General features: G+C 42.3%; 4 annotated features.

Moving 5' to 3' along the window:
• Window positions 6987-7036: a silencer, noted in NCBI's record as "silent region_15540". NCBI's record gives its function as "represses an Ori minimal core promoter by ATAC-STARR-seq in GM12878 lymphoblastoid cells {active_cell/tissue: GM12878}" and the evidence as "EXISTENCE:reporter gene assay evidence [ECO:0000049][PMID:35858748]".
• Window positions 11397-11466: an enhancer, noted in NCBI's record as "active region_21682". NCBI's record gives its function as "activates an Ori minimal core promoter by ATAC-STARR-seq in GM12878 lymphoblastoid cells {active_cell/tissue: GM12878}" and the evidence as "EXISTENCE:reporter gene assay evidence [ECO:0000049][PMID:35858748]".
• Window positions 13924-14183: an enhancer, noted in NCBI's record as "active region_21683". NCBI's record gives its function as "activates an Ori minimal core promoter by ATAC-STARR-seq in GM12878 lymphoblastoid cells {active_cell/tissue: GM12878}" and the evidence as "EXISTENCE:reporter gene assay evidence [ECO:0000049][PMID:35858748]".
• Window positions 15893-15992: an enhancer, noted in NCBI's record as "active region_21684". NCBI's record gives its function as "activates an Ori minimal core promoter by ATAC-STARR-seq in GM12878 lymphoblastoid cells {active_cell/tissue: GM12878}" and the evidence as "EXISTENCE:reporter gene assay evidence [ECO:0000049][PMID:35858748]".

Here is a 26830-nt window from a genome sequence, read left to right on the forward strand (position 1 = left end):
CAACCTTGTTACAGACCTTCATTGGTACCCTTACAAAGCTCCCATTATACATCCTGATCAGCTCCTTACTGTTCTATGGGACCTATGGCTTCAAAGAACTTTCCAGGACTTTACTCCTACCCAAATAACTTTTCTCTCTTTTTGCTTCTTTCTTTCAATATAAATTCCCTAATCACATCAACCTCACCAATACAACCACTCCTCACTGCTCTCAAACTAGAATGCTCTATAAACCTTACACAATTCCTCCTGCAGCAACCTAACTCTTCCTTTGCTCCAGAGTGCTGGATGTGCTTATCGCTGTCTTCCTCAGCTTACACAGCCCTTCCTACACCCCTTCATGACCTTTTAACAGGAAACATAACTCTAATTTATAAACTCCAAAAAGGAGCTTCCTTTTTCGATAGAGCTGTCTCCCTGGTCAGTGATTATCTCACTTCCAAGGCCAATCAGGCCAACAAATTATTTCAAACCTATTATAACTCCCTACAATGCCTTAAGCCCAAGGCCCCCATTGAAGGGCCCAAAACTAAACATACCCTCTTTTTTTTTTTTTTTTTGAGACGGAGTCTCACTCTGTCACTCAGGCTGGAGTGTAGTGGCACGATCTTGGCTCACTGCAACCTCCACCTGCTGGGTTCAAGCAATTCTCCTGCCTCAGCCTCTCAAGTAGCTGGGACTACAGGTGCGTGCCACCATGCCCGGCTAATTTTTTGTATTTTTAGTAGAGAGAGATGAGGTTTCACCATGCTGGCCAGGCTGGTCTTGAACTACTGACCTCGTGATCCACTTGCCTCGTCCTCCCAAAGTGCTGGGATTACAGGCATGAGCCACCACCCCTGGCCCCACCGCTCTTTTACAAGAAGGCTCACTTTGTTTTTCAGCCTCTGAGTGAAATTTCCCTGTAGGTTCCTTAACTTCTAATCAATGCAACTGCACTTTCCTTGTTAAACACCCCTCTGACCATTCAGACTAACAGGGTTGACTACCAAGTATCATCTGAAGCAAACGGAGCATTTCTGCAACCGGCTCGTTTTACAGCCTCTCCCTCAACCAATGCCTCTGGCCTAACTTGTGCTGTCCCTGATGCTCACCTTTTTCTGTGGCTCAATATCAATGGTGCAACATCCGATCACACTAAATGTGTAAGAAATAACTCTTCCTATATCCCTACTACAGCGGGTGTCTCCCTGACCTCCTCCTTGTCCACCTGGAGTAATGAACCACGGGAAAGAAACACCCTATCTTTAATTCACTTATTTTCTTTCCACATTTCCTCTTGTATTTACGACAAAGGCTTGTTCTTTTTGTGTGGCACCCACACATATCTTTGTCTCCCCACCAACTGGATTGGAACCTGTACCCTAGCTTATCTTTCTCCCTCCATTGGACTAGTTACTCCTAATCAATCTTTACCCATTCCATCTGTCCAATATGTTAGAAAAAGGAGGGCCATCCAAGTCATTTCTTCGATGGCTGCCTTAGGTATAACCTCTGGGCTTGGATTGGGAGCAGGCAGATTGGTCACCTTCTTAACATACTTTAAAGCTCTTTTGACAGAACTACAGGGTTCATTAGAAGATATAGCCTGAAGCCTTATAAGAGTCCAAGACCAACTACACTCCTTGGCTGGAGTAGTCCTCCAAAATAGATGGGGATTAGATCTTATAACGGCTGAAAAAGGGGCCTCTGTCTCTCATTGAGTGAGGAACATTGCTTCTATCTCAACCAATCAGGCCTAGTAAGAGACGCTGCTGAAAAACTTAAGGAAAGGGCTAAAAAGCTAAGGGAATACCAAAACAACCAAATAGATTTTTGGTTTAGGAACAAAATCCTAACATGGGTCATCCCATTCCTGGGGCCTCTCCTAATGATCGTCTAGGACTAATGTTCTTACTGTGCTTAATTAAACCTTTTCAAAGATTTTTAACTGACAGGATCATGGCCAACTCACAGACAATTACCCAAAAACATCTACAGACAGTCTTACTCCTATAATCAATCCAAGACCAAAGAACTCTCCGCCTGCCGCCCCTCAGCAGGAAGTAGCCAAAAAGAAAATGCCGCCCCTAGTTCTTTTTATAACTATAGGGACTGGATTGACAGAGCAGTAGCATTGCTATCTTGGACAAATGCCACCATTTTAAGTTCCCCTTGATTTAAAAAAAACCACCTAAATCCAGCCCCAAAACATCAGCCTAATGGCTAATGTCACCATAACCAAAAACATTCCAACCCTAAGATAAACCGCCCTCTGACCACAAACATGCCAACCCAAGATAGCCTCCCCACCCTGCAATAAACATTCTAACCTGAGACATTCCAGAGACATTCCAACCCTGCAATAAACTTTCCCTCACAAAGAAACATTCCAAGCCTGCGCCTGCGATAAGCTACCCTCTTCCTAAACCCTTAAATACCCTTAGTCTTTAAAAGAGAATGCTCCTGACTGAAATTGGCTAGAAGCCTCTCTCAGGTTTATTCTCCAAAGTAAACCTGTCTTTGACTGTTGAGCCACTTTTCTTGTTTCTTTCCTCTTTCTTTAACTCTTACATATAGTATGATTCCTTTTATGTAAAATTATAGATAGATATATGAATATATAGTGAGATGCATCAAGGAAATGCCATCAAAATGTTAATAAGGTTTATCTCAGGTGATGAGAGTCCAGGTGATCGGAAGTTTTGGGGTGTGGTTGGGGAATCCTATTTTAGGATTGTAGGCAGCTGTTTTCAGTCCACATTTACTCAGGAGAACTGATGGGGTGGGCCTACAAGAATCTATTCTCATGAGGACTCAAAAAGCCCCCTAGGGTATAACTCCTTCCAAGAGAAAAAGAATTAGGGGTCCTGCGTTGGGGTCAAGAACAGTGGCTCAGTATGAGAGGGGAGGGAAAATTATGAGTACATGGTATCTATCTTGCAAATGAATAACCAGTCAGCCTTAATCCATGTTTGCATTCTAGGGAGGGGACCTCCAAGACACGGCCAAGTGAAGCCAGAAGTGCAGTTACAAATTTGCTCATTCTGTCTTTCATTCAGCAAGTATTTACTAAGAGCCTACTAAGTGTCCAGCACTGTTCTAAAAGCTGAGGATACAGTGGTGAACCAAAACAGACAAAACTCTCTGCCTTTGTGGAGCTTATGTTCTAGTCCTTTCTTTCCCCTTGAAGCACAGAAAGCATGTCTTCTTACTATTCCAGTCTTCTTCTTATTCTTATACATCTAGTGCTCCAGAGCAAAGGAAGAATTAGCTTGCAGCAAGAATTTCAGCAGGAATTCCAGAAGAATTTGTGACACATGTCAGGCACATAGTAAGTATTTATGTAATGACACAGCATTTTCAGCTTTGGATTATGATCTCTGGGTGTTTGTGGATGTGTCTGATCTTCCCTTTTGGCTGTATACTCCTTGAGGGGAAGATGGTATCATAGACCGAGTAGGAGCTGCCTATGGTATCGTAGACAGAGTAGGAGCAGATGGTTGCTGCCCAACAGTTGTGAATGACACACTGATCCAGGGAGTAGAAATAGAAATGGAGATGAAATTGGACAGATGGACACATCTTTGTGAAGGGATCCTCAGAGGATTTGGTGACTCACCCAGGAGCCATGGTGAAATGAGAAGGAGAAGAGAATGGATTCCAGGCTTTGGCCCCAACTGGCTGGCAGAACAATACCATTAGAACAAATGTAGGAAATTTCAAAAGCAAAACTGGCTTTTGTAGAGGACTAATAGTTTTAGATATTTTGTTTAGGTGACATTATTGGAATATCCAGGTGGAAATATTTAGCAGCTAATACGAAATGTACATCTGAACAGAGAGGGGGAATCTAAGAGTTTTCTGTTGAGGTGAGAGTTGAGGTCGTGATGGTGAGTGAATGAGTCACCAAGAAAGAGAGGTGATACTCCCAGGACTTATGGTCAGTCCAGTGGTGTTACTTACTGACCACGTGGCTCTGGGTATGCCATTTAAGGGCTCTAACCTTGTGTCTTCAATTCTGTGAAGGGCTAATAATGCCCGTCTTTCCTCATTCAGAATATTAGCATGACAAGATATGGGTGGAAGTGATTTGCAAATCAGTAAGCACAATGCAAATTAAGGCTTTTGGTAAAGGATGGAGCCTGCCTAGGGAGTGAACACTGGGGTTATGACCTTGCTTTTTCACCTCATCAATACACACCCACTCGTGCTTCAGATCTCAGTCCCAGTCTTCCTTGACCACTCATGGCCCAGTGTCCCCAGCATGGGCAGTCATTGCAAGTTGACTCTTGTTACTGTGATGATTTGATCCACACCTATCTCTTATTTCTCAGTTGCACCCCCGGGAGCAGGCTTCACATCTATTTTGCTCCCTGCTGAGAGTGCCTCACTCCATCAATATTCACTGAATGAATAGAAGAGAAAGAAGCAAGGGAGCAAAGGCAGCAAGAAGTATGGAGTCAGAGGAGAAAGAAAAACAGAAAACCACAGCTAGAGACAAAGCTGTAGAGAGCTTTTCAAAAAGGAGGCATGATCAGCAATATTGAATGCTTTAAGAAACAAAAGCAAATGAGGAATTTGAAAAGCTCTGGATTAACTGTATTTAGAACGTTGCTGCCTAAAACAATGGCTGAAATATGACAAGAGACAAAGCTGTTGGATGAGGCTAGTCTGATTTCTAAAGAAGGTATATGTAACTATTGAAAACCCATTCTACTACCATTAGGCATTGAACCCTAGGTAACCTTGCCTTGTGAAGCAAGAAGACAAAAGGCTTATTACTTTGGCAGAGTAACTTGAATGGAGCTGGAGAACTCTGTGAGCCGAAACCAGGTGTGTATTCACCCCGACAGGTCTGTAGTCATTGCTAGAGAAGCTTTATCATTGCTAGGCCTTTGTTCAAAACCCAAGCATTGCAATAAATTTCAGTTCAATTACTTTGATTTGTCTCTGGTGAAAAAGCAGAGTTAATTGGGGTTCATGTACTTCGTACAAATATTTAATAACTTCCATACACTATTTCATAGCGTAGACAGTCATTTTCTAAGGTCAGTTTTCATCTTTGCGATGTGAAATATTTGGAAGATATTTTATTCCTATTTGGTCCTGCAGACCTGTTCTTATGTTTGCAAGAATTCTGGAGGGAAGGACACCCCAAGCTTTCCATACACAGCCATAAAATAAAATACAGCATCTTTATTTCATGGTGGCTTCCTCAGTGTATTGTAAAGACTCTGATAGCTACATTTTTAAAATTATGGTAGAAAACACAAAAAATTTACCTTAATGATTTTTAGTGCATAGCTCAGTAATGTTAAGTATATTTACACTGTTGTGCCACCAATCTCCAGAAACTTTTCATCTTGCAAAACTGAAATGCTCTACCCACAAAACCACAATTCCCCCTTTCCTCCTCCCCCAGGCCGACAACCATCCTGATGGTTACATTTATTTATTTATTTATTTATTTAGAGATGGAGTTTTGCTCTTGTTGCCCAGGCTGGAATGCAGTGGCATGATCTTGGCTCACCGCAACCTCCGCCTCCCAGGTTCAAGTGATTCTCCTGCCTCAGCCTCCCGAGTAGCTGGGATTACAGGCATGCACCACCACGCCCGGATAATTTTGTATTTTCAATAGAGACGGGGTTTCTCCATGTTGGTCAGGGTGGTCTTGAACGCCAAACCTCAGGTGACCCGCTGGCCTCGGCCTCCCAAAGTGCTGGGATTACAGGTGTGAGCCACCGTGCCCAGTCCTACTTTTCTTTTTTTTGGACTGGTCCCTAAAAGCTCTGCCTGGGTGGGTGACCTTAACACATCCCTGGGAAGTGAGGATGTGACCAGAGTCACTAGGTACCCATAGAAATTAGGGCAATGTTTTGGCTAATTCACAGAATCAGTAGCTTCATACAACCTTAAACAAAGAGAAAGCAGTATTCAGTGCTGGATTCATAAACATCATAAGACTGAATCCAGGTAAAGCAATTTCATTCCCAGGTATTAGTCAAATGCCTTGTGCTTGAAGGAGTGGGCAGATTAACAGCTGGAGGAAATGTAGAGCTGATATAGGTCAGGTGGTCATCCATTTAGTTAATATGTATTGACTGTGCCTAGGCTGGATTCAGCACTCGAAAATAAAGTAGCACAAGGCACTTGCAGTCTAGAAACTATAAAGCAGACAATAAATACGCGTTTATTTGCAGCCACTTCCACAATTTCCTACGCGCTTACGGGTATCCTTTTTTCCCTCAAACTTATTTTAAATGGCAAAGATATAGATGACCATATCCTCAATTTTAAAATCTCATCTTATTTTCCACTAAGCAGTTATTTTATAACATTAGTGCTTAACGTGTTTACCATTTAAATGAATCTGTCTTATGACCACTGGATGTCTACCGAGCACTTAGAAGTCAGTCTCATTTACTCCTTAGAAATGCCTCGGAGGAGAATATCATTATCATTTTTATTTTGCAGATGAAGACATAGAAGCTCAGAGAGGCTGAAGGACTTCCAGAGTCACAAAGCTAGAAGGGGGCAGAGTTCGGATTAAATGTGGGTGTTCTGGTTACATTTGGAGGTCCTCTTTACGTCCCCATACATTTGGCACAGCTGGAAAGTTGTCAGCCACTCATCAATGCGCATGTGTATTGCACACTTACCGAGCAAGGCATTTGAATGCTGCAGCAAGTGTGAAAATACAGTCAGTCCCTTACTGAGCTGACACTATAGTGAGGGAAGGCAGATAATCACAAACGAACACACAACTACAGACATGCTAAGTATTGCAAAGGGGTGCTTTGGAAGAATGAAACTCAACAACCCCACCTAGGCTGAGGTGTGGGTGTGGGTGGGGGTGGTGGAGGGCGTGACAGACAAGAATTTTCCTTCTGAATACAAAGCTTCAGGACTGTGTTCTTAATCACTGTTGACTGCAGCCAAACATTCAAGTTGGTTTTGTTCTGTAGGAGGGTTTGGTTACTGCACAGGTGGAGTTAGTTGAATTGTGGGCACCCACACCAGCTGAAACCTGTTTTGATATGCGCACAGTGTGAAACACACCCTCTGTGAGGTTTCTGCTTAAATATACACGATTTGGTGCCAAAATTAGAATCAACACCTGGGCAAGGAAGTAACACCTGACCTATCACTTACTATGTTAGTGCTACTTTCAGCAAAGGAAAGGACAAATATGGTCCTGTTTGGGAGGGGAAAAAAAGTGCCGTTTGACTTGATGCAAATCTTGAGAAAATGATGTCTACTCTGCTCTCTTCCCCTAAATTGACACAATCATGGGAAAAATGGACAGGAAAGCATTAACAAGACACAATTGTAAAAGTTAACAGTAACACAGGCAAGAATCCACTTCTCTATTAAAACCAGGGAGCAGGTTTCTTCAGATAGTTTCATGGTGTACCTGGTTGTTAATTAGTATTAATTTCACTGAACTATATGAACATTAGCTATCCTCACTAGATGTTCTCAGGCCCAGAATGAACAACATGCTCAGTGGACCACTGGACCAGACACTTAGTTTTTAAGACATGGCAAAGACTTTCTCTCTGCTGCTCTTTCTGCAGATTCCAGTCTGGGACACCGGGAACCATGGTTTCCAGACTTTTGAGAACTGTCTCAATTTCAGATATTCCGTTTCTGGTCAAACCACAGCTTCTTGGAGACAAGGGACTGCCATGTCTCATATGTCACTGTGTATCTGTCTCCAACAGAGTGTTTGCATATTGTACATAATGGATTAATTGCATGTCTGCCAATACAGAAATAATCACCACAGTTATGAGAGACATTTAATAAAACCAGAGATGTTGGAGTGTCAGTGCAGACTTGCCATTAAGTAATTAACTGATATAATGAATAAACAGTTATTGAGCACCTACTCTGTGTCAGGCACTGTTGTAGATACTGGGGTTACAGAAGCAAATGAAACAGGCAAAAATTCTGCCCTGGTAGAGCTTAAGTGAGGGAAACAGATAAATAGGAAAACTAAATCGATTATGTGGCATATTAGATGGTAATAGAAAATATGGAGAAAAATACAATAGGGAAGTATTGCAGTGGGGTTGTTTGCAATTTTTGATAGGGTAGTCAGGGAAAGTGACATGTGAGCAGAAATGTGGAGGAATTATGCAGCGAGCCAGGCAGAGACCTGGGGAAGAGCCCTCCAGGCAAAGGTACTGCATGTGCAAAGGTCCTGAGGTGGGAGCATGCCTGGCACTTTCAAGGAAGAGCAAAGAGGTCAGGATGGCTTGAGTAGAGAAAACATGAGTGAGAGAAACAGGAGATAACCGGGGTCAGAACACGTAGGGCAAGCTTGTCCAACCCGCAGGTACCCACAGGCCTCATGCAGTCCAGGATGGCTTTAAATGCAGCCAACACAAATACGTAAACTTTCTTAAACCATCATGAGATTTTTTTTTCTTTTAGCTCATCAGCTATCATTAGAGTTAGTATATTTTATGTGTAGCCCAAGACAATTATTCTTCCAATGTGGCCCAGGGAAGCCAAAAGATTGGACACCCCTGATGTTGGGTTTCATAGGCCACTGTAAAGACTTCAGCTTTTATCTGAGTCAGAGTGGAAGGCACTGGAGAGTTTGATCAGAGGATAATAATGATGATAATATAGTCATGCATCATTTAACAACAGGGATACACTCTTGAAAATGCATTGGTAAGCAATTTTGTCCTTGTGTGAACATCATAGAGTGCACTTACACAAACCTAGATGGTATAGCCTACTACACACCTAGGCTATATGGTATAGCCTAGTTCTCCTAGGTACAAACCTGTACAGCATGTTACTATACTGAATACTCTAGGCAACTGTAACACAATGGTATTTGTGTATTTAAATGTAGGAAAAGTATAATAAAAATACAGTATAAAATATTAAAAATGGTACACCTATATAGGGCACTTACTGTAAAAGGCGCTTGCAGGACTGGACATTGCTTTGGGTGAGCGGATCTCAACTCATACCCCAGAATCCCTGCTTGTCTGTGCTCCCATAGTGTTTACACCCTGTAGCACTTTTTTCTATCTGTTATAATTACAGATTTGGCATTTATATCCTCTCTTAGCAGTGGTTTCCTTGAATGCAGGTGCCACATCTTGCTTTTCCTTGTAGTTCTCTGAGCTCCTAGCACAGGGAAAGGCACGTAGTAGGCATTCGTTGAATGAATGAGAGAAGGAGCTACAGTGGGAAGAACCTGGGTATTATGTCTGGAAAGACTCATTTTAGGGTCCAATCTCCACCACTTCTAATTGTCCACTTATTTGACGCTGGTTGTGCAAGTTGCTTAAACTTCACGAGCCTCACTTCTCTCATCTACAAAATGCAGATAGTAATACCTAGTGAGGCTTCAATGAGATAATGCATGTCAGCACTTGGTACACTGTTCACTCTCTTTCTCCTCCTCTTGAATGAGGGAAGACAGTGATTTCTGAGGAAGGGTTAGGTAGAGGAAGTGTTAAGCAGACCAGAGGGACACTTGACCACTCAGCACTAGAAAACTCTGAAGCCTGCCAGGTTTTTGGTGGGCCTCTCTCCACACCGTCTCTTCACCCATAGCTGGCTTTTTCTGAGAACAGGTACAGGAGCAGGTACAGACTCAGCTCAGAAATGGAAGGAAATTATCTTGACATAATAAAGGCTATAGCTAATAATCATACCCAGCGGTGAAAAACTGAAGGCTTTCTTTCAAGATCAGAAACAAGACAAGAATGTCCATTTTCTACATTTCTACTCAACATACTATGGGTAGTACTAGCCCAAACAATTAGGTAAGAAAAAGAAATAAAAGGCACTCAAATTAGAAAGGAAGAAAAAAATTATATATGTTTGCAAATAATATAATCTTATTTGTAGAAAATCTGAAATATTCCAGAAAAATAAAAAACTGTTAGAACTAATACATTTAGCAAAGTTGGAGGATACAAATTCAGCGCACAAAAATCAGTTGCATTTTTAAAGACTGACAATGAGTAATCTGAAAAAAGTTAATAAAACAATCCCATTTACAACAGCATCAAATAAATAAAATACTTATCCAAGAAAGTGAAAGGCATATAGTAAACTGTAAAACATTGCTAAATGAAATTAAATAAGACACAAACAGAAAGACATCTCATGTTCAGGGATTGGAAGCATTAAAATATCCATACTACACAAAGCAATATACAGATCCAATGCAATGCTTATCAAAGATTCCAATGTCATTGTTTATAGAAATAGAAAAAAAATACTAAAATCCATATAGAATCTCAAAAATAGCCAAAACATCTTGAGAAAGGAAAACAAGGCTGGAAGCCTCACACTTCCTGATTTTAAAGCATTACAGAGGTAGGGTAATTAAAACAGAATGTCACTGACATAAAGACAGACATATAGACCAATGGTACAGAATAAGGAGCCCAGAAATAAACTCTCATGTATATCATCAAATGATCTTTGACAAGAGTGTCAAGACAACACAATGGGGAAAGGATAGTTTCTCAACAAATGGAATTGGGAAAACCGGATATCCACCTGCAAAAGAATGAAATTGGACTCTTGACTGTACAAAAATTAACTGAAAATGTATTAAAGACCTAAATGTAAGACCTGAAGCTATAAAACTCTTAGGAGAAAATATAGGAGGAAATCTTCATGACATTGGATTTGGCAATGATGTCTAGTGTATGACACAAAAGCACAGGTGACAAAAGCAAAAATAGCAAGTGGGACTGCAAAAACTTCTGTGCAGGAAAGGAAACAATCAACAGAGTGGAAAGGCAACCTGCAGAATGGGAGCAAATATCTGTAAACCATAGATCTGATAAGGAGTTAATATCCAGAATATATAAAGAACTCCTACAACTCAACCACATAAAAATAAATAATTCGATTAAAAAATAGGCAGGCTGGGTACAGTGGCTCATGCCTGTAATCCCAGCACTTTGGGAGGTGGAGGCAGGCGGATCACCTGAGGTCAGGAGTTCGAGACCAGCCTGACCAACATGGAGAAACCCCGTCTCTACTAACAATACAAAATTAGCTGGGTGTGGTGGCGCATGCCTGTAATCCTAGCTACTCAGGAGGCTGAGGCGGGAGAATCGCTTGAACTCAGGAGGCAGAGGTTACAGTGAGCTGAGATTGTGCCATTGCACTCCAGCCTGGGCAACAAGAGTGAAACTCCGTCTCAAAAAAAAAAAAAAAAACCAAAAAAACAAATTAATTGCAGCTTTTGCCATTTTTTTTTAAATATGGAAACCACAATTACTTTTGCAGCAATCTAATAAAGTAGTCAAACTCCTAGAAACAGAAAGTGAATGGTGGTTAACAGGGGCTGGGGGAGAGGGGAATAGGAAGTTCTTTAATAGGTGTTTCTGTATGGGAAGATTAAAAAGTTCTGGAGATAGACCATGGTGATGATAGCACAACATGTGAATGTACTTACTGCCACTGAATGGTGCACTTAAAAATGGTTAAGATGGGTCCTGGGCAGGGTGGCCCACTCCAAGGCCTGGGTGCAGTGGGAGGGTCCTGACGTGGTGTCCCTAGAGGCCCTCCCTGCCCCTTTCTCCCCCTGAAAGGCGTGTGTCCCCTCTCTGTACCTCGCTGGAAGCCCAGCCGCTGGCGCAGCACGTGTTCCTGGCATACCAGGCTCACGTGCATGTTAGTGAGCCACAAGATGCAGGGATGGAGAAGAAAGCCTTCGCCTACCAGTAGCTGCCTGCTAGGCACCAGGGGATGGGCTGATTTGCTCCAGAATGAATCCACATCAGGAATAGCAGTTACAATTGAGGCCGCCACCTGATTAAGTCTGTAGTAATCTCTCATTCTCCAGATCTGCCTGTCTTCTGCAAAGGCCAAACAGGCCAAGTGAGGACACCTTGAGATGGTGGACCCCCGCCAGCTGGGAAGAGGACCCTCACCTGACCATGCTGATGCTCTGATTGCAGACTTCCAACCTCCAGAACTGTGAGAAAATAAATATTTGTTGCTTAAACCACACACAAAATGGGCTAAGATGGTGAATTTTATGTATATTTTCCCACAGATACACACATACACACAAGATATACTTGAACAACACCCGCGGGGATTCTGATTAATCTGGGGCTTGGGAAAATGCATTTCAAATATGCGACTGAGGTGGTTTTGATAGGGGTAAACAAGAAGTGAAAGAAACAGGAAGATGAACTGTTACCCGTAATGTGAGAAACCTATGAGGAAGCTGAACCACCCTGTGGGGTTCTGTCACTGGGAGTGACTTCCTGGTGTTCTGCTGAGCTACTCATTTTTCACTGTTTTGGTTATTGAGGTTGAACTGCTTGAATGAAAGGTGCGATACTGGGCTCTGGGTGGGGAGAGCAAAATCTGTTAATCTCAGGGGAGATGATCAAATACAAGAAGTGCAGAACTGAAGCTCTCAAAGGGACCTTGGTAACTTCTAGCAGCTCAGCTCTCCACTTCCTCCTCTGTGCAGTGGGAAAATGAAGCCCAGTTTACGTGTTGTTATTATAGAGACCAAATGAGATAAAAGGTGTGAAAGTGTTTTTTACTTTTTAATCAATTACTCAGTTTACTCATAGGGTGAGTGCTTAAATATGGGCTCCATAAAGGGTCAGGGCAAAAGTTCTCAACCCCGAGTACATATTAACATTACTTGAGGAGCTTTGAAAAATACCCAGATTGACCTCCTCCCCTCCACGATTCTCAGTCCACTGGTCTGGGGAGGGCACCGAGTTTGGGCATTTTTTAAAAATCTCTCAGGTTTTTCTACTGGCAGCCAGGCTTGAGCACTACCCCTCTATTAGTGGTGAATTCTAAGTGGTAAAACGGGAAAGGCTTAATCAAGAAGGACTTGTTTGAGCTAGACCTTATGTAAGATTTGAGGAATAATATTTTGGGACTAGGTAGTATATATACACACTATAAAATTTAGAAGTCTAAAAGGATTTATCATGAAAAGTGTATCTTCTCTGTCCTTCTCTCTGGAGGGGAGTCAGCAACTCTGACCAGCTCTCTTTATTTTTATTTTTTTGAGACAGGGCCTCACTCTGTCACCCAGGACCCAGGCTAGAGTGCAGTAGTGTGATCATAGCTCACTGTAGCCTCGACCTCCCAGGCTCAAGTGATCCTCCTGCCTCAGTCTCCCAAGTAGATGGGACTATGGGTGCACACCACCACGCCCGGATAATTAAAAAAACATTTTTTTTTTGTAGAGATAGGGTCTTCCTATGTTACCAAGGTTGGTCTCAAACTCCTGGGCACAATTGATCCTCCAGTCTCAGCCTCCCAAAGTTCTGGGATGACAGGCCTGAGCCACTGCGGGCGGCCTTGACCAGCTCTCGTTTATAATACTGGAGATACTCTTTACAGTTGCTATTAAGGATCTTGTCAGATTGGTCAGGGGAAAGGAGAGGAAAAGAGCAGGTGTCATTTTCTGTTCCACAACCTTCCACTAGGCACAGAATATCATTTGGATAGGTATAACTTGATTGAGGAAATCCATTTAAGAAAAAAATAGAAAGTTGATTTTCAGAATAGGGCTTTCTTCTTTCCCTCCTCCTCCTCCTCCTTTTCAGTTTCTTTCTTTCTTCCTGTCACAGTAAATTCTGAGCAGCTTGAATTTTTAAAATTTAACTTTTTATTCTGAGGTAATTGTAGATTCACATGCAGTTGGTAAGAAATAGTACCAAGAGATCCCATGTACATTTTGCTTAATTTTAATTCATTTTCATTCCAGTACTAATCAAGATATTTCAGATCAAACTCTCTAGTACTGTTTTGAAAAACTACAACCCAGAATTGAGAGTGAGGTTGCAGGAGAGGGCGGGGCTGTGGAGGAACAACGTGTTTTCGTGTTTTCGGTCTTCCCTCATTGTTTCTGGGAAATCACAACTAACATGCAATGTGCCCGTGGCACAGTCCCAGCTGGGGACTAATTAAGACTCTCTGGCAACAGATGCTGTCCGCTCGTTTATATTAATAATGTCCTCCTTTGTGTGCTGGACATGCCAGGGCAAAGGAGGCCAGCTCGGGGAGAGGCTCTCTACCAAAGTGGAACCAGCAGTTTCTACCTGGGTCCTGACTCCAAGTCAGAATATGAGAAAACACTGCACTTGCCCATTCCAGATCCTGCCTTCCTGGTCTCCAGACTCAGGGAAACTAACAGATGGAGGCAGCAAGCCATTCCTGACTCTCAGGTGTCCACGCTGACTCTGAATGGTTACTGGATTCCTGGATAGCACAAGCCCTCTGTCAAACGTGATTCACAAACACAGATCACATGATGACAGAGTAACTGCGGTCCTTCTCTGCCTCTTCCTTTTTGTACTGCATTGGCAGGAAGGAACACCTGGTCAGAAGCAGGTGGCTGGAAGAAAGAGGTTTTAATCTTTTTCCAGTCCAACTCATCTTCCACAGCAGTCACCTGCATACTGTGTAACAAGTGGCCAATGCATTGAAAATGCAAACCATCAGGCCTGAGATTTTATGGGTAAGAAGGTTGCTGGATTATGCATTTCCCCGCTATGGACGTTTTGGCCCAGTATTTCGTTCTTATGCTTATGTCATTTGTGTTAATATAATACATCTGGATATAATAATACTTGGTATTTTTTTGTCGTGTGTTTTTTGTTTTGTTTTGTTTTTTGTTTGTTTGTTTTTGTTTGAGACAGAGTGTTGCTCTGCCACCCAGGCTGGAGTGCAGTGGCGTGATCTTGGGTCACTGCAACCTCCGCCTCCTGGGTCCAAGCAATTTTCCTGCCTCAGTCTCCTGAGTAGCTGGGATTACAGGCACACACCACCACGCCCAGCTAATTTTTGTATTTTTAGTAGAGACGGGGTTTCATCATGTTGGCCAGGCTGGTCTCCAACTCCTGACCTCAAGTTACCTGCCCGCCTTGGCCTCCCAAAGTGCTGGGATTACAGGTGTGAGCCACTACACCTGGCCTATGTGGTGCTTTTGGTAAGGGATCTGGTACCAACACGTTAGGCTTCATCACATTTGTTAAGGTATTTAAAATATACAACGGAAGAAAGAGTAGAACCCGACCACTAATAAACATGATCCCAGGCTTCTATAATCATGTGAAGTAGAACACTATGCACACATATGAAATTTAGGCACGCTCTTTTCTAAACTGATGATAACTACCATTTGTTAATATATTCTGGGCAGAATGTTAATGTTTTGCATGACTTCATTTAACCCTTACAACAAGTCTATGATATATGCTGTTATTATGTCCATTTTATTGTTGGAGCAACCGATGCCTGCAAAGGTGAAGTTATTGCTCAAGGTCCACATGGCTGGTGGGTGAGGCAGGGTTTGGACCCAAATCTGTCTGGCACTGAAGCAGGGACTCTTTGTCTGTGTTATATATACAGCTAGTGAAGCCTTTGGACCTCTTCTCAGAATACTATTTTCAAATGCAAAAAATAAAATACACAGTACAAAGAAAAGCAATTCTCTGTCACCCAGGCTGGCATGCAGCAGTACGATCTCGGCTCACTGCAACCTCCACCTCCCAGGTTCAAGCAGTTTTTCTGCTTCAGCCTCCTGAGTAGCTGGGACTACGTGCATGTGCCACCACGCCTGGCTCATTTTTGTATTTTTGGTAGAGAAGGGGTTTCTCCATGTTGGGTAGGCAGGTCTCAAACTCCTGGCCTCAAGTGACCCACCCGCCTCGGCCTCCCAAAGTGCTGGGATTACAGGCATGAGCCATGACACCTGGCCTTGAAATACCGAAGTATAGTTTTCAACTGCGGTAGGCAGCCTCAAAGGTGGTCCCTACTCATGGTATTTATTCCTTCATGTAATCTCCTCCCTTTGAGTTGGGGCTGGACCTAGTGACTCACTTCTGATGAACAGAGTATGGGAGAAATGATGGTATGCCACTTCTGAGATTAGGTTCCAGAGAGATTGTGGCTTCTTGAATGCTTTCTCTTGCTCTCTCTTGAGTTGTTCCCACTTGAAGAAGCCAGCTGCCACGTCCTAAGGTAGCTGTAAGGTGGAGAGGTCCATGTGTCTAAGACCTGAGGCCTTCCAACAACCACGTGAGGGAGCTTGGAAGCAGCCCCCACTTTGTGCGGTCTTAGAGAACAGAGGCCCTGGCTGACACCTTGTTACGGCCACGTGACACAACTGGACCCAAAACCACCTGGCTAAGCTGCACCTGCCTTCCAAACCCACAGATAACAAATGTTTGCTGTTTTTAATCACTTGTGAAGTAATTTGCTATGCAGCAATAAATAATATGTCAACCTATTAAAATAAAATAAATTTGGGATATATATGTGGTCTCAGTGAGAAGGCATGTCTGAAATATAGGCAAATTAAAGTTAGATTTTTATATTTTAAGACATATTGGCATGAAGGCTATTGTTCCTTGGCTTGAATAAGAAGATTAGAAAGTGCGACAAACTTTGTCAAGTGTAATAACCACATTTTCTAGTTTCTGTATTTGATATTTGACATCTGGGGCCTTGTGACCCTAGAGAGACTGCCATTCCCAGGGCTAGTCAATACCTAGAGATAATAAATGCTTCACCCACCTGGGAGCGTGCATTTCATATGCAAACCAGCTAGTCCAGAGCTCATACCCAAATCACCTTCTTTTTTTGAGACAGGGTCTCACTCTGTTGCCCAGGCTGGAGTGCAGTGGAGTGATTTAAGTTCACTGCACGCCTGGCTAATTTCTGTATTTTTAGTAGAGACGGGGTATTGCCATGGTGCCCAGGCTGGTCTTGAACTCCTGGAGCTCAACTGATCTGCCTGCCCCGGCCTCCCAAAGTGCTGGCATTACAGGTGTGCACCACTGTGCCCGGCTTCAATCATGTCCTTTATTGTTTTCTTACACTCTAGGCCACTGTCTGCCTGGCCTAATCACCCCAGGGCCTGCTACCTGGCCCCTGACAACTAGAGACACTCCCTCCACCCCAGAGCCCGCTGAAATTATTCAAGCCAGCCAATGTGAGGCCTACTTACCCTGCTGCCCACTCTGTTCCTTCTCGAGGAGACCAAAAAAGGCTCTTGCCCATATATTCCCGTCTCTGCCTCCTGACTGACCCCAGTGTTCTACATGTCACATCCCTCAGCCCCATGGCATGGTGCATCCCCTTCTCTTGGGATCTGTGAATATAACCAACTGTCTTGTCAATGGCAGTCATCTCCTGATCTGTTGGCCTTGCAATACCTAAATAATATGAAAACCTACATTTTAAAACAACAATGCAATATGCATGTCTTCGTAGACATTGTCTATTTTATTTTTTGTTTTGATAATTACAAGTGTTAAAGATCTTGTTTCACAAAGATATTTTGTTGCAAATGAAATGACAGCTTTCATATCTGATTTTTCAAGGCTTCTCTCAAGGAACACCAGAATTATCTAAGACTTTTAAAGTTCGACTCCAATTTTCTCTTTTTTGTAACAAAAGTCTTGCTCTGTCACCCAGACTGGTGTGCCGTGGTACGATCTCGGCTCACTGCAACCTCCGCCTCCCGGGTTCAAGAAATTCTCCTATCTCAGCCTCCTGAATACCTGGGATTATAGGCACGTGCCACCATGCCTGGCTAATTTTTGTATTTTTAGTAGACATGGGGTTTCACCATGTTGGCCAGGCTAGTCTCGAACCAATACAACTTATATTAAAAAGGATATGACTGTGAATTTATGGTTCAGCTTTGATGCCATTATGACAGAAATAGTTGTTGAAAGAGTTTTAAGTGTCTCTAGATGTACTTAGCTTTCTCTTCTTAAATAAATGGACAGAGAACTTTGTAGACATGGAATTACGGAGAAACAATGTATATCTCTGAATGAGCAATACAGAACACGGGAGAAATAGGCTGATAATTGCTCAATAGCACTGATTATAAGAAGACTGTGTACCTATCAGGGGTCTAAAAACTTCAATAATTTTGAAGTAGTAGTGAGTGAAATGATATTTCAAGGCATGTCTAACAATTGAATTGGCTCTAAAAATATCTGTGATTTCTACTAGTGGAAAGTCATGAGTTTTGTTAAAACTACTGGAGTTTCTTGCCTACACTCATAATTAAGCAAAATGCTAAATTTTATTTTAAGGTTAGTGAAAACAAAGATATATTACTCCCCCAACCAAGGTTCTGGATCCAGTTTGGAACACTGTTCTAGAGCTTAATTCTCAGCCACTGCCATACTCCCTTTTCCATGGTCAGGAACAAAGGCGGCCGTGAACTCTGAGTTTAGTTCTCATTGTTAGAAGTACCTAAGCATGGTAATCCCCAAGGTAATAGACCACAAGTCTATTCCCAGCAAAGGATTACAATTAAGGGAAATGTAGGTATGTTCCCAAACTTGTGGCTTTTCTAATGGTTTTAGTGCATGCCAGAGAGTGATCATGCCAGGATGGACCTGAGCTGTTGCCAGCTAGGGGAGGATGCCTGGCAGTGGTGTCAGGACACGCATGGCCCACAGACCCACTAAGACCAGCAGAAACCTTGAGCACTGAAGAGATGATTTCTCCCTTCTTCCCCAGGTATGTAATTAAAAATTAAAACTACAGCAAATCATAAAATAAGTATGAGGTGGTCAGACAGAGCTCTTACTTTGCCTAGGCTGACAAATTTTATGCTTTGAGAGAATGTTTAATTATCTCACAAAAAATAATTTTTGGATCCTTCTGCTTTATTACTGGTGTTGAAAATTAAAATGGAGACCAGGCTTGAAGAATTCCTGAGCAAACAAAGTCAGTTAAGCCACGGAGGCAACGCTGACCATGTTTGATTTGAAAACGTAAGAGAAACTTAGCTTGGGGTTATTTCTTTTGTAAATGTCTACATTAAAGTAAAATGAAACTTAAGTTCAGCCAATCAGAAGCCGCCATCTAATTTATAGGTAACTAACTAGGAAATTTCCAGTAGGAAAGACCAAATAAGACAACTGTATAACTGTAACCAATCAAATATTTCTTTCCTTCGCTTTATGCTGTGGTTTGAATGTGTTTCCCCAAGAACATTTGTAGGAAACTTAACCCCCAAAGCAACAATGTCAAGAGGTGGGACCTTTGGGAGGTGATTAGACTAGGAGGGCTTCACGAATGGATTAATGCTTGAGGTTGCAAGTTGGCTTGCTTGCCCTTCCACCCTCTGCCATGGGGTGATGCAGCAAGAAGGCCCTCGCCAGATGCTGGCACCTTGATATTGGATTTCCTAGTCTCCAGAACTGTGAGAAATAAATTTCTTTACTCTATACATTAATTACTCAGTCTGTGGTATTCTGTGAAGCAACACAAAACTAAGACACTTTACCTTCATGTGCACCCTGTAAAAGACTTCCTCTTGCATCCCCTTGGCAGAGCCCAAACCAGCTTTGATTTGGTGTTTCCTGATTCACAAATCACTACTCAAATAAACTCTTTAAAATTTTATTGTGCCTTAGTTTAACACTGGTCAAATGCGTACTTTGTCTGAGTGTTGGGTAATTCAGCACTGGTTAAAGTATTGTAAGTAAGGGAAATACATTTTCATCTTGGAGCCCAATTAAGCTCCCTTCCCAAAGGGGCAGATGACCCCAACGATGGCAGCTTGCTGTAATGTGTGTTCCTGGATCGGCGATCTGTTGGGTTGCAAGGACAGGAAAGGTTGATAAAGGAAAAGCATACATTACAGCAAGGTGTGATTCCTGGGTAACAGAGACAACAGACTGCCTGCATTGCCTAGTTGAGTGTTGAAGGGAGAAAACGTTGTAAAAAAAATCAACTAATAAATGATACTTAAGTCAAACATTGAACATACTGCATTAAAAAAGACCAAGAACGATCTGCAAATAATAATAAGGACTAGGAACCAAGAAAGCCATCTGAGTGCATTTGACACGAGCCCAGAATAGCTTGACAAATGTGCCCCTGAAAAGTGGCAAACAGGAGTTTCAGCAGAATTGGAGTCGCTTACATGGGAGCAGGGGTGATTCCTTTAGATACTCTAGAAGAGAGGTTCCCACCAGTTCCTCAGGGACAAAATACAGATATGTTCTCTAAAGCCAGCACTTCTCACACTTTCCTATGACCATCCTCTTCAGGACAGAAAAGTAGAAAAGGACTTCTGGGAGGTTAGGGAAATAGTCCAAAGCAGCCTATTTTAAACTCCCTAAGCTCAAATTTTCTTTGAATTTGCATGCTTCATTTAAAAAATATGTGTGGATTTACATTTTACTCCATTAATATATCTGCAATTGTCTCAGCATGAAAGCGTTTTTACATTGTGTTAATATCACCACATAAAATAATTCCTGTAAGTTCTGATCTGTCCTGTGCACTTTGCCTAACTCAGCCTTCTACAGCATATCTCTGGGGATATATTTACCCACATTTGAGAAACAGCACCTTGAATTATGTATAATAAAATGAAGATGTTAACACTTACGAAGTCTCAATAAATTCTTTGGCTATTTTTGTAAAGAAAACTAAAGAACTTTTCCAGGATCTATCTATATATCGTCTGTCTTTCTGTTTCCCGATGGTGACAAAGAATCACTCCACAGATTGTTCACTAATTGCAAAAAGAAAAGAACTGTTACCATAGAGAGACCTGGCACTCACCATCTTAACCAAGTGCTCAAACAGTGTCCTTAACACCTAATGGAGCATTCCAATCTTATGGGGAAAAAAGCAGGGGAACTAAAGAGATATAATAACCAAATGCAAATATATGATGGGATACTGCTCTGGAAAAACACACCTATAAAAGACATTTATGGGATTTGTGAAATTTGAATATAAACTGTAAATTAGAGGATATTATCAAATTACTATTAATTTTTAGATATAAAAAGGGTATTGTTTATGTATGAGACTGTCTATATTTCTAGGAGAAGATTAATGTATTAATATTTATAGGTGAAGTGTCTTTTTTTTTTTTTTGAGATGAGTCTCGCTCCGTCGCCCGGGCTGGAGTGCAGTGGCGTGATCTTGGCTCACTGCAACCTCCACCTCTCAGGTTCAAGCGATTCTCCTGCCTCAGCCTCCCAAGTGGCTGGGACTACAGGCATGTGCCACTACGCCCAGCTAATTTTTGTATTTTTAGGAGAGACGGGGTTTCACCGTGTGGGTTGGCCAGGATGGTCTCGATTTCTTGACCTCGTGATCTGCCTGCCTCGGCCTCCCAAAGTGCTGGGATTAAAGGTGTGAGCCACCACGCTTGGCAAGTGTCATGACTTCTACAATGTACTTTCAAAAGGCTCAGCCAAATATAGACAGACAGACACATAGACATACACACACACACACACACACACACACACACACACACACACACACACACAGAGAGAGAGAGAGAGAGAGAGAGAGACAGAAAGAGAGAAAGAGAGAGACAGAGAGAGAGAAAGAGAAAGCAAATATGGTAAAATGTTAACAAACAACCATTGAACCTGAGCAAAGGATATATGGGTCTATTGTATTTTCTTTCAGCCTTTATTAGAATAAAAGGTTTGAAAGAAATAAATTCAATATCTAAAAGAGTTTTGTGATTCTACCAGGAAAGAAGGATATAGAAAAACTGCAAAATTCCATCTAACTCATGGTCTTCAGAGCTAGATAACAGACACTATATTAAAGACTTGCAGAAATATGGACGCTGACCAAGCAGACTGGATGGGGATGTGGTCCTCTGTAATGAGGCAAAAGTAAGAAATAGAGATGTAGACTATGTGGACTCTAAGGGCTACAGGACCACCCCTTGAGAATCACTCTAAGGAGGGCTCTGTATGTTCCATCAAGGTCACCAGCAACATTCAGTCATCCTCCTGGCAAGGAATTGTCCTGGAAAGGCATCTCTCAAATTGTTGGGTTGACACAATGGTCTCCCTGGTGAATGTTATGGGCTGAATTGTGTCTCCCCCTCCAAATTTATATGTTGGAGCTCAAACTCCGAGTATCTCAGAATGGGACTTATTAGGAGATAGGTCCTTTATTTATTTTTTATTTATTTTGAGACAGAGTCTTGCTCTGTTGACCAGGCTGGAGTGCAGTAGCACAATCTTGGCTCACTGCAACCTCCGCCTCCTGGGTTCAAGTGGTCCTCCCACCTCAGCCTCCCAAGTAGCTGGGACTACAGGTGCATGCCACCATGCCTGGCTATTTTTGTATTTTTAGTAGTAGATATGGGGTTTTACTATGTTGGCCAGGCTGGTCTTGAACTTCTAACCTCAGGTGATCTGCCCACCTCAGCCTCCCAAAGTGCTGAAATTTCAGGTGTGAGCCATCATGCCTGGCCTGGAGATAGGGCCTTTAAAGAGGTGACTGAATTAAAATTAGGCCATTAATGTGGGTCCTAATCCAATCTGACTGGTGTCCTTATAATAAGAAGAAATTTGGGGTGGGGCTGGTGACTCATGTCTGTAATCCCAACACTTTGGGAGGCTGAGGTAGGAGGATTGCTTGAGGGCAGGAGTTTGAGACCTGCCTGGGCAACATATCGAGACCCCCATCTCTATAAAAAATACACAAATTAGCCGGGCATGGTAGTGTACACCTGAGGAACCTGAGCGGGAAGAATTGCTTGAGGCCCGGAGGTTGAGGCTGCAGTGAGCCATGATTGCACCACTGCATTCCAGCCTGGGCAGCAGAGCAAGGCCCCAACTCAAAAAAATAAAAATTAAAAAAAATGAAAAATTTTTAAAAAGAGGAAATTTGGACAGAAAAATAGACACTAAGGATGTATATACACAGAAGAAAGACCACCTGGGGACACAGTGAGAAGGCTGGTCTCTGCAGGCCAAGAAGAGAGGCCTCAGAAGAAACCAAACCTACTGACTCCTTGGACTTTCCAGCCTCCAGAACTATGAGAAAATAAATTTCTGTTGCTTAAGCCACCCAGTTTGTGGTATTTAGTCATAGCAGTTCTTGCAAACTAATATGGTGGGTAATCATATTCCAACCTTGCGAAGATTTAGATTTAGGAGTAGAAATGTTTAAGAGGATATTATCTACAGTATTCATATTTTTGTATTAATGTGTACATTACTTACTGTAAGTAGTTGCAATGTTTAAGAGAATTTGGTCTGTTGAAACTAGAGATCAGTCTTGTGTTTCCTAAACACCAAAGGGAGTGACTTACATTCTAAGTCAGATTGTTACTAAGATCTTTTAAGAACTTAAAAATCACCATATTTATGTGTTTGATCTACTAGATTTGTATGCATTATTTAGGTTCCCAGGAAAGTTTTGACATTAAATTGAATAATTATTGATATTAAGAAAATAAATAATGTTAAATTTATAAATGCACTTTAAGAGGTTTTAAGGAGTTTATCTAATAGCATTTGTTAATGGAACCAAACCATATTTAGGCCCTTCAAGTGCTTTTAAAATTTGCTATATTTCTGAAAGAACAACAAGAATTCTAAGTTGAACTTAAATCTTAAGGTCAATGAAGTTTTTTTTTTTTGAGATGGAGTCTCGCTCGCTCTGTCACCCAGGCTGGGGTGCAGTGGGGTAATCTTGGCTCACTGCAACCTCCGCCTCCGAGGTTCAACCAATTCTCCTGCCTCAGCTTCCTGAGTAGCTGGGATTACAGGCGTGCACCACCATGCCCAGCTAATTTTTGTATTTTTAGTAGAGATGGGGTTTCACCATGTTGGCCAAGCTGGTCTCGAACTCCTGACCTTGTGATCCGCCCGCCTTGGCCTCCCAAAGTACTGGAATTACAGGCATGAGCCACCATGCCTGGCGGTAAGCGAAGTTTTTAAGTTGTAACTTTAGTAAATTAAATATTAATTTTTAAAGCTAAGTAACCTCTGAATAACCTTTTTTGATGCATAAAAGCCAACCTCAAGGGCATCAAAAGAGTCATCTACGTTTATATTTGAACTCTGTAACTTCTGAATAATGTGCAAAGCATGTCCTCTGGGATCCGAGGGACCAGGTGTAATGGGGTTAAGTTGAATTCAAAGCTTGAACACGTAGCCTTCTTGTTTTCTGTAACTATTCTCTTCTTGTCCAGAAGGCCCCGTTTCCTCTGATGGCGAGATAGAGTGATGAAGTGAAGGTAGATCACCAAACATAAACTTTCCAAGTAAAGGTAGCCAGAGTCTACTTTGGGGTTAACCTAATCTCTTTTGGGGAAATGCTCAGCGTTTTAGGCATTTTCTTCTCTCCTCTTCCCTTAGCCAAGATGGCCTTGGGGAGAGGGAAAGTTTATGCACTCACGTGGCATTGGTGGTGTTGTGGCTGGTTCACAGTGGGCTTTTGTTTGGCCCAGTGGGCACTTGCTGGGCTCTTGTTGCAGTGTTTTGTCCCACTGAAACCAGGTCATTGGTCTCTGATGTCATCGCCTCCTCTTGACCTCCAGTGGCATTGTTGCATTGCCTCGGAGCTCTGCAGGCTGACTAGGCCTTTTGGACTTTCCAGTTTTATCCAAAGCACACAGGAGGCCCCTACAAAAGAACACTCCCCAGGAACCTTTGTCTCAGGAAATCTTTCCAGCGTCTGCCTCTGAACTACTCTCTGTCCTGTCCTCTACTCCAGACTTTTCCCTTGTGATTAAGTTCTTGTCTCCTTGGACTAGGTCCTTTGTATCAGACAGAAAGCTGCCCTTATGTGGGTGGGGGCATAAGTCTCTCTTTGGTTCCACCCTATAACCCTGGGCCAGCCCTTCTTATTCTCAAGCAGAGTCCTGGATCCTGAGACCCTAGTCTGAACCTGTATCCCATCCCCATAATTTGAGTAGGTGAAGCAAAAATGAATCTGTACCCCATCCCCATAATTTGAGTAGGTGAAGCAAAAATGATCAAATCTGGCCAGGCATGGTGGCTCATCCCTGTTGTTCCAGCACTTTGGGGGGCTGAGGCGGGAGAACTGCTTGAGCCCAGGAGTCTGAGACCAGCCTAGGCAACATAGTGAGACCTTGTTTCCACAAACAAACAAACAACCCAATCTGTGAATGCCAAGATTGCTTAAGAATTAACAAATAGCATTTGAAAAAGATGTAAGAATTGTTAGGAACATAAAAGTTATAGGATACTAATTCCTTTAAAATAAAAATGCAAAGTTTCTTCCTAATTAACTTTTTTCTAACACTTAGGTTTGAGATAATTAGAAGAAAAGTTTACATATAGATTAGCGTCACTATTAGCCAAATAGTGCCTTTATAAAAATCACAGAGAGGCCTTTTTCTCTGGTGGTGGGGTGTGGCATAGAGTCCTAAGCAGGACTCACAGCTTGGCAAGGCAAGAGGAGCACAGACTGGATTTTGGTCCCTACTCACCCGTCAGGTGGTTGCTTTTTGGTAATAAACATCCTGCCCAATCATACGAAGTGGCCTGATATAGATGATATTTATTAACTACATGACCTTGGGCAAACATCTCAGTCCTTAGAACTTTAGATGCCTCATATAACAAGTGAGAGGGGCTGACCTCTGAGGTCCTTTGTATCTACAAATACTATGCTCCACGGCATCAGTAATTTTTTTTTTCTTTTTTTTAACTAAATGAGAGTCTTCACAGAAAGTAGAGGAAGTACCAAATGCTGGCCACCGGAAGGAACCAGTCTGAAAAGTAGAAGTGACAGAAACCCATGGGCAAAAGTGGTCAGGTTATTCTAGAGTTCATGATAGGGAGAGTTGGACATCATTAGATATATATCCGAGACTTTGGTAAGACACATCTAAAAATTTTTCCTAAATAATAAGATTCCCTGGACAGAGACTCCCAAAGGGAAGATGACAAGTGTTTGGGAGAAGTGCTGCAAAATGAAATCTCTATCTTCCAAACAGGATGATGTGGAACAGAAAAAAAGGGGGAGAGTTATTTAAAGAGAGACACACTTGGCCAGGCGTATTGGTTCAGGGCACTTTGGGAGGCCGACACAGGTGGATCACTTGAGGCCAGGAGTTCAAGACCAGTCTGGCCAATATGGTGAAACCCCATCTCTACAAAAACTAAAAAAAAAATAGCTGGATGCTAATGCTCTGAGATGACAGATTTTTGGAACTGTGGATGTAAAGCCCATAGACCTTAACATTAGTGTGTCCAGTCCCATGACATTTCATTAGCTTATGGCTTCTGCTCCAGAGACTCCCACCATTTCCCCATTGATAAGGGAGAGGAAGGAGGAAGTAAGAGATTATTTAAAAACAGTTGTGAAACTACCAAGGTCTGTGGTTGAGAGTTGGTTTTCTAACCAACCTTTGTCTAGTCTAGTCTAACCTTTGACTACAGACATCATATAAGGGACACGGTTGCCTCAGATGCAGAAGATATCAGGAAGGGCTGATTTGTTCCACACTATTTGACCACACTGATTGCAACAGGATGTGGACATGTTTTGCTATGAGTGTGTCCTAAAACATTGGAAAGAAACCCCACATCCTGTCACCCTCCCTGAGGGCAAGGACACTTAGAGTGGAGAAATCTGAGGTTTAACCTGTGCTGGGGATGATGACTGATACAACAAAGGATATAGGACCTCACCTAATGAATTTCAAAGATTGCTGATGTAAGATGCACCAAGAACAAATGTTGGTGTCCTGGTAGTAGAGCAGGGGACCCCTTGTGAGACCTGTCTTTGATCTTGGGAACACAAATCTTACAACATATTTATGACTGTGAAGGCAAAAGAAATCTTCAACGATGAGGTCTGGAAATTCTGAATATTCTATGCAAAGTATTAGAATTTCACAAGAGAGGACTTTGCTCAGAAGAGAAAAATGAACAGGCACCAAGTGGTAATTCACAGAAGTGTCATTCCCATGCTCTTAACTCTCAAGTGTGTTTTGAGATCAGGAAACATGGAGTCCTTATTCTCACTGTGTCCCCTGTTTGAAGACTGATTAATTAAGATGTCATTCATGACATGGTGA

This window comes from Homo sapiens, chromosome 4 (genome assembly GCF_000001405.40).
Source record: "Homo sapiens chromosome 4, GRCh38.p14 Primary Assembly".
Classification (NCBI taxonomy): Eukaryota; Metazoa; Chordata; class Mammalia; order Primates; family Hominidae; genus Homo; species Homo sapiens.